The sequence below is a fragment of the Homo sapiens genome, chromosome 7 (genome assembly GCF_000001405.40).
Source record: "Homo sapiens chromosome 7, GRCh38.p14 Primary Assembly".
Classification (NCBI taxonomy): domain Eukaryota; kingdom Metazoa; phylum Chordata; class Mammalia; order Primates; family Hominidae; genus Homo; species Homo sapiens.
This window is the reverse complement of record NC_000007.14, coordinates 47621571-47629893: the sequence shown is the minus strand read 5'-3', so window position 1 is coordinate 47629893 and position 8323 is coordinate 47621571. Positions and strand designations below refer to the sequence as shown.

The following is an 8323-nucleotide window of genomic DNA, read 5'->3' as shown; positions in this document are numbered from 1 at the left end:
ACATAAACCAGTAACAGTCATTTATTATCACTATCACGTATTATGGGCTGTACATAATCGTGTGTGCTATACTTTTATGCAACTGGCCATGCAGGTTTGTTCACATCAGCAACCCCACAAACACCTGAGTAATGCAGTGTGCTACAATGTTACAGTAACTACTCTTCATGGGTGATAGTGTGTCCGGAATTGGTGGATTCTTGGTTTCACTGACTTCAAGAATGAAGTCGCGGACCCTCGCAGTGAGTGTTACAGCTCTTAAGGTGGCGCGTCTGGAGTTTGTTCCTTCTGATGTTCGGAGTTTCTTCCTTCTGGTGGGTTAGTGGTCTCGCTGGCTCAGGAGTGAAGCTGCAGACCTTCGCGGTGAGTGTTACAGCTCTTAAGGCGGCACGTCTGGAGTTGTTCGTTCTTCCCGGTGGGCTCGTGGGCTCGCTGGCTTCAGGAATGAAGCTACAGATTTTCGCGGTGAGTGTTACAGCTCATAAGAGCAGTGTGGACCCAAAAAGTGAGCAGCAGCAAGATTTATTGCAAAGAGCGAAAGAACAAACTTTCCACAGTGTGGAAGGAGACCCCAGTGGGTTGCCACTGCTGGCTCCGGCAGCCTGCTTTTATTCTCTTATCTGGCCCCACCCACATCCTGCTGATTGGTAGAGCCAAGTGGTCTGTTTTGACAGGGTGCTGATTGGTGCGTTTACAATCCCTGAGCTAGATATAAAGGTTCTCCACGTCCCTATCAGATTAGTTAGATACAGAGTATCCACGCAAAGGTTCTCTAAGGCCCCACCAGAGCAGCTAGATACAGAGTGTCGATTGGTGCACTCACAAACCTTGAGCTAGACACAGGGTGCTGATTGGTGTGTTTACAAACCTTGAGCTAGATACAGAGTACCGATCGGTGTATTTACAATCCCTGAGCTAGACATAAAAGTTCTCCAAGGCCCCACCAGACTCAGGAGTCCAGCTGGCTTCACCCAGTGGATCCCGCACCGGGGCTGCAGGTGGAGCTGCCTGCCAGTCCCGGTGCCTTGCGCCCGCACTCTTCAGCCCTTAGGCGGTCGATGGGACTGGGCGCCATGGAGCAGGGGGTGGCGCTCGTCGGGGAGGCTCCGGCTGCACAGGAATCCACGGAGGAGGGGGAAGGCTCAGGCATGGTGGGCTGCAGTCCCGAGGCCTGCCCCGCGGGAAGGCAGCTAAGGCCTGGCGAGAAATCGAGTGCAGCTCTGGTGGGCTGGCACTGCTGGGGGACCCAGTACACCCTCCGCAGCCGCTGGCCCGGGTGCTAAGTCCCTCATTGCCCGGGGCCAGCAGGGCCGGCCGGCTGCTCCGGGTGCGGGGCCCGCCAAGCCCACGCCCACCCGGAACTCCAGCTGGCCAGCAAGCGCTGCACGCAGCCCCGGTTCCCGCTCGCGCCTCTCCCTCCACACCTCCCTGCAAGCTGAGGGAGTGGGCTCCAGCCTTGGCCAGCCCAGAAAGGGGCTCCCACAGTGCAGTGGTGGGCTGAAGGGCTCCTCAAATGCTGCCAAAGTGGGAGCCCAGGCAGAGGAGGTGCCAAGAGTAAGCGAGGGCTCTGAGGACTACCAGCACACTGTCACCTCTCAATAGGAGTTTTTCAGCTCCATTATATTATGGGACCACCATTATTGATGCAGTCCATCATTGACTGAAAAGTCATTATGCAGCACGTGACTCTGTATTTATGGGATTTTTTCATGTAGAGTAGGGTATCAGTTATACATTGCCTCATGACGGTTAAGTGTCCCTGTCACTTAGGAGCTGAAAGCAACCAAATGTATTATTTGGTTTCAGTGGGGCAGAAACTCAGACCAGGCTTAGCTGGGTGGTTCCAGCTCAGATTCTCTCCAGGGGTTGCAGTCAGGCTGTGGGCTGGCACTGACTTCTCTAAAGCCTCAACTGGGGCTGGAGAATTGCTTCCAAGTTTGAAACTGACCCAATAGTCCCATAGACAGTTTTTCGGATAAACATAGAAATTCACCCTTCTGGCTTGAAATTTACATTTGTTTTACTTGAGTTCCTTCCTCAGGAAACTAACTTCAGGCCTCTCAAGAAAAGTACCAAAGAACTGAAACTCACCAGATCACCGCATTCAGACAATGAGATGCTGCCCCCTCATTCATCATGATTGCTTCCGTGCCCCTCCCTAGTTGCTGTTTTCTTACACATTGTTTCATTTCTTCCCTGCTATACAAATCCCTCGTTTTAGTAGGTCAGCAAGATGGATTTGAGACTGAGCTCCCATCTCCTCGGTTGCAGCACCTGATTAAATCCTTCCTTGGCAATACTTGTCATCTCAGTGATGAGCTTTCCATGCGGTGAGCAGAAGGACCTGGACCAAACCCCTGGTGTTTTGGTAACAAGTTCATTCAGTCATGCAGCTCTTGACTGGAAGCCTCATTTCCTTGCTGCATGGGTCTCTCCGCAGAGCTGCTCATGGTGTGGCATGTGGCTTCCCTAAGAGTCAGCTATCCAAGGGAAAGAGCAGTCAAGATGGAAACCACAATGCCTTCTTTGGACCTAGTCCTCAAAGTCACACACCTCCACCTCAGCCAGATTCCATTCTTTACAAGTATCGCCAAACACAGCCCGGACTCAGGCAAGGGGAATCAGCTTCCAACCTTTAATGAGGGAATAACAAAGAAGTCATGGGCCTGGCCGGGCACGGTGGCTCACGCCTGTAATCCCAGCACTTTGGGAGGCCAAGGCGGGAGGATCACGAGGTCAGGAGATGGAGACCATCCTGGTTAACATGGTGAAACCCCGTCCCTACTAAAAATACAAAAAAATTAGCCAGGCGTGGTGGCAGGCGCCTGTAGTGCCAGCTACTCAGGAGGCTGAGGCAGGAGAATGGCATGAACCTGGGAGGCGGAGCTTGCAGTGAGCCGAGATCGAGCCACTGTACCCCAGCCTGGGCTACAGAGCGAGACTCCATCTCAAAAAAAAAAAAAAAAAAAAGTCATGGACCTACATTTAAGTCCACCACAACTAATTTTTCAGAAAAAAAAGAGACTGTATATGGAGTGAAATAATGACCTCATACCTTAAACTTACCAAGCTCTTGCTATATTTCATGGATTTCAAAGACACACTATTTTTTCACATTTGAACACCTCTAAAATTAGGAGGCGTTTTTCCAATAGCACAGTCTAGTTTCAGTGAAATGCAGTATTGTGTGTGGGCCTCGTGCCCTGCATTATTGCATTTAATTATTACAGCACTCATAAAATGTGGATATTAATGTGGCCATATTGAATGTGGGGCCCTGGGTGTTTGCTGAAGAGAGTAGGCAACTTGCCCATGTCCCTTACCTGGAGCAGAATAGAGCAAGGATTCAAATCCATGGGGCCCTCGGTCTTAACACTGTGCTGTCATGACTCAGTGGAGCGTAAAGAGGAATTGTATTTTGAAGGCTTCCTTTCAATCACTGCTTCCTATCTTGCTTTTCCACCCTCCCTTTTGCACCTCTGGCAATGTTTAGGTGTATTCCATTAGCTTTCTAGCCACTTTCAGCTATTCAAATGTTGATCTCAAATTCAGTGAAATCTTTCCTCTGTCTCTATGCAGATGACTGGTGGCTTGAAGAATGGTGAGGGGTCAGGGTAAAGGGCAAGGACTGCGGCTCCATGCTTGCCTAGGGACCTTGGACTTGGGGGCACAGGGGCAGGCTGCGCTTTTGAAACCCCTCCTCCCCACCTATGTTCTAGATCCAGCTCTTCCAAGAAGGACGGATGAGGGCAAACATCACTTCTTCAAATACCTGGGTGTGTGGAAATCCTTTCTCTCTCTGCTCTCACTGCATCTCTGGGCAATATGCCTGGCAGTTGATTGTCTGTGCACAGCAGGAGTCCCAGCGCTATGTGTTTCTGCATCCTCCTGGCCCAATCCTGTTGCCTAGTGCAGCGCCCTTGGTCAGCAGGGCCTCAGTGAACCGAGATGGGAGGGGGCAAGTGTCTTTCAGCCCATGCCTCCCATTCCCACCCCGGTCCTCTCTCATTCTTCACCCCCTGAGGCCCAGAAGGGGTGGCCTCCCCTCCTTCCTTTGGGTTAGATCCTTCTCTGACCAGAGCAGAAACCCTGAGAGATTTGGAAAAGGAGAAAGGACCATTACCTCCAGCTGAAAGGAGTCAGGAAGCCCTCTTTCTGCACCAAGCCTCTTTCTCCTGACCGGGGTATCCAGCTCAGCCTGGAGACAAAGGCTGCCAGGCTGCAGGGGTCATGGGAAATTAAATGCCACAATTCAGTATTTGCAATTTGTGGACCCCTTTCAAATGTAGTCTGTGAAGATCTATGTATAATTGTCAATGAAACCCCTCAAGCTAATAAGACTTAGCACAAACTTTCCTGTTTGAACTTTAAGATGATGATTGCAAATACCAGTGAAGGTGAACAGTGAGAATTGTATCATCTTGCATGAGTTCCTATAAGTGCATATTCAAGTGGACCTTAAAAATACATAAGGGCCAGGGGTCGGGTGCGGTGGTTCATGCCTATAATCCCAGCACTTTGGGAAGCCAAGACGGGCAGATCATGAGGTCAAGAGATTGAGACCATCCTGGTGAAATCCCGTCTCCACTAAAAAAAAAAAAAAAAAATACAAAAATTAGCTGGATCTGGTGGTGCGCACCTGTAGTCCCAGCTACTCGGGAGGCTGAGGCAGGAGAATCACTTGAACCCAGGAGGAAGAGGTTGCAGTGAGCCGAGATCGCGCCACTGCACTCCAGCCTGGGCAACATGAGCAAAACTCTATCTCAAAAAAAAAAAAGTAAGGGCCATGATCTAAAACCTGAGCAAAGAAAATCTCCCCAAATCTACATACTTGTCTCTGGGTGGTGAGACAAGGGAGAACTCTTTTCTTTCTTCCTTCTCTTTGGGTATCCCAAATGGTCTATCATAAGCATGTTTATTTTTAAATGGGGAAAAACAGCAACTTATTGAAAATGAGTGCAAGAAAAAGCCCCCTGAAGCATTTATAGGGAGTTTCATTTTATCACCACAATGTGGGTTCCAGAGAAAAGCATCACTTCCTTATTTGGGAACTCTAGCTCAGTGCCTGGAAAATGGTGAGTGCTGGGAGGTGTGCTGCCTTTCCTCCCCTCCAGCCCCAGCCCCACTTTCTCACTCTGCACCACCTCATGCACCTGGCTGGCTTCTGGGTGCAGCAACTGCAAATTCAAAAGGTAGAGAGAAGTTCATTTCCTAGAGAATTTTGGACAATTGTGTCTGCATCCCTAGAAGGAACCAGCTGACAGTGGCCAAGGACTAAGCCATTGGGATAGTCCTAGCTTTAGGCTTCCCCAACTCCATTGCCCATTTGGCCTCACAGAGTCTCACTCTAGGGTCAAATCACCATGCCTCCAAAGTCTGGAGGCACTCAGTGGGGGAGGCATGAGACCATCAGCCAGGGGCCAGCCTATGTCACAGACCTGACTTTGGGGTCACCCTTTTCATCCTATGCTTCAGAGGAGCATTATATCTTCTCTAGATACCGGAGGAGGCTCTAATTAGTCTAAATGCTGAGGAACATAGAGTGTCAGAAACAGTGCCAAGGCCTCCCCTTCAGAAGAGCCTCAGGGCTCAGCTTGCTCAAAGCTGTACCATATATATATAATAAGTATGTATATTTCTGAATGCATATCTGTATGTATGGATGTACATATGTACACGCTCACATTTACATACATGCACACACATATATTAAATATATACATCATGGCCAGGCGCGGTGGCTCATGCCTGTAATCCCAGCACTTTGGGAGGCCGAGGCGGGAGGATCATGAGGTCAGGACATCGAGACCATCCTGGCTAACGCGGTGAAACCCTGTCTCTACTAAAAATACAAAAATTAGCTGGGCATGGTGGCGGGCGCCTGTAGTCCCAGCTACTTGGGAGGCTGAGGCAGGAGAATGGTGGGTGAACCCGGGAGGTGGAGCTTGCAGTGAGCCGAGATCACACCACCGCACTCCAGCTTGGGCGACAGAGCAAGACTCTGTTTCTAAAATATATATATATATAATGTACATCATGCACACTCATTTGCATATGCTCAGACATTCTAGAATGATGCCTGGCACAATCAGAGGTTATAACCTCAGAGAGGATGGACTGGGAATATGAGTACCAGAGAGGGGAAATTTTGTCTCTTACCTGATATCGATTTGGTAACATTTGAATTTTTGTGTGCATTCTCTTTTCACAACAAAAGAAAAATGAGTTAAACTTAGTCTCAGCGCTGAATGGAAAAGTGAATGAGAGGGGTGGCCGTGGCAGTCCTATGGAGCACATGTGCTTCACTCTCTTTCAGCGTCACTCAGGGGACAAGGCCGTACTCACATTCACAGAGGCTTGGGCAGCAATACGTTCATAGAAAGCTCTGATTAATGACTCAGTCTTTGCCCCAAAGGACTCATGAGCATTCCAAACACAAATGTAAACACTCGCTGATCTACTGCATGCTGGAAAACGCGGCTACTCTTAGCAGGGCCTTGTAGGCTCTAAGATCCTGCAGCGAGCCTGTGGAGCTCAGCCTAATGGCTAAATGAGATGAAGCAGCTGCTTTTGATTGTGAGAAATTCCCCAAGCCCAACTGCAACCATAGTGAATGGAGTTATTTTTGAAGTTCAAGCTGCGCTGGATCTTTTCAAACAGCCAAGAGCATGTTCGTGGCAGCCCTGTTTTCTTCCACGGCCTTTCACTCCCTGTTTCCTTCAGAAATTGAGCACTGAATGTTAATCTTCATGGATCTCTTCTTAGCCACTTCCTGACCTCATCTGTGGGGGAGCAAAAAAAGATGTTTTTAAAAACTCAAAGTTTGAGAGAAAGATCTAAGAGGGCCTGAGTCTAATGAATTCCCAATGCTGAAAAGAGTTAGCATAACATTCCTTCCATGTTAATATTTGGCAGCCTGCACAGTGTTTGGACTGGAAGATAAAGTAGGAGATAGAGAGAGAGGGAGAGAAGAAGAGAGAGAGGAAGGTTGGGGGGGAAGGGAGGGAAAGAAGGGGTGGTAGAGGAAGGGGGAGGAGGGAGAAAGAGAAAAATGGAAAGAGAGAAAGCTGGAGAGACAGAGGAAGGGAGAGAGGGAGGGAGGTGGGAGGGAATGGAGACAGGAAGGGAGGGAGAGAGAGAAGTGGAAGAGAGGAAGTGGGATGGGGAGAGATGGAAGGAGATACATGTAGAGAGGAAGGAAGGAAGTTAGAGAGGGACAACAGAACAACTAAAAGAAGACAGCATCTCTCCAGTTCAACTCAAGATGAACTCTTCAGACATCAGCACTGTTTGAGGGAAGGCCTTGCCTATGGAGCCCTCTGCCCCAATTGATACGGAAGTGCTGGGAAGGGAAGAGTGTGGTCCCTTTAAATGATACGGAAGGGGAAAGGGAAGTGCTGGGTATAGGAGGGCATGATCCCTGGTTAGGGCTCCACCCCCACAGACCTAGGTGAGGACAACCGCTCCTGCCTTTGCATGCAAATGTTGCATTTCCTGAGACCACCCTGGCCTGCCACGCCCCCATCCTGTGCCTATAAAAAACCCCAAGACCCTACCAGGCAGACACACAAGCCGCTGGATGTGGAGAGGAGCAGATCAGCAGAAGAAGACACAGGCGGCCGGATATTGAGAGAACGTCGAGGGAGCATGCCAGCAGAAGAGCACATCAACAGATGCCGACATGCTGGCCATCGACTGGCAGAATGAGGCGGAGTTTGGCTGGAGCAGTCAGAGGAGAGCTGGGGCGGCCAAGTGGCCTGACTGCAGGCAAAAACCATCTCCCTTCTGGCTCCCCCATCTGCTGAGGGCTACTTCTACTCAATAGAACCTTGCACTCATTCTCCAAGCCCACCCATGATCCAATTCTTCCGGTACACCAAGACAAGAAACCCCAGGATACAGAAAGCCCTCTGTCCGTGTGATAAGGAAGGGAGTCTAATTGAGCTGATTAACACAAGCCGCCTACGGACGGCTGAACTAAAAGAGCTCCCTGTAACACATGCCCACTGGGGCTTCAGGAGCTGTAAACATTGATCCCTAGAGGCTGCTGTGGGGTCGGAGCCCCGCAACCTGCCCATCTGTACACTCCCCTAGAGGTTTGAGCAGTGGGACACTGAAGCAGTGAACCACAACCCCATCACACACCCTGCGAGGGGGACAGGGAACCTTTTCTTCAATCTTCTTGATCCCACAACTTGCTGCGCCAGTAGGAAATAAATGTGTCCTTCCCTAGGGGGATTTACGGAGCTCTGGCCCCACCCTGTATGACCCTCTTTCAAGTCCTGCTTCTTGCCAGCCCTGGGCCTTGTTGGGTAACTGGCTG

At 49.9% G+C, this 8323-nt stretch overlaps 1 long non-coding RNA gene across 1 annotated transcript, besides 1 other annotated feature; it reads right to left on the bottom strand.

The window, feature by feature from the left end:
• On the bottom strand, positions 1-7955 carry LINC01447 (long intergenic non-protein coding RNA 1447). Its single transcript, NR_108090.1, has 4 exons — positions 7557-7955; positions 6160-6782; positions 2092-2633; positions 1-1197 (listed from the first exon to the last, which is right to left on the bottom strand). It is a non-coding gene; the product is annotated as a long intergenic non-protein coding RNA 1447 (long non-coding RNA).
• Positions 3374-3913: an enhancer, noted in NCBI's record as "NANOG-H3K4me1 hESC enhancer chr7:47665579-47666118 (GRCh37/hg19 assembly coordinates)". NCBI's record gives its function as "activates a minimal SCP1, AML or CMV promoter by ChIP-STARR-seq in naive H9 embryonic stem cells {active_cell/tissue: H9 hESC(naive)}" and the evidence as "EXISTENCE:reporter gene assay evidence [ECO:0000049][PMID:30033119]".
• Positions 7956-8323: the final 368 nt, after the last annotated feature.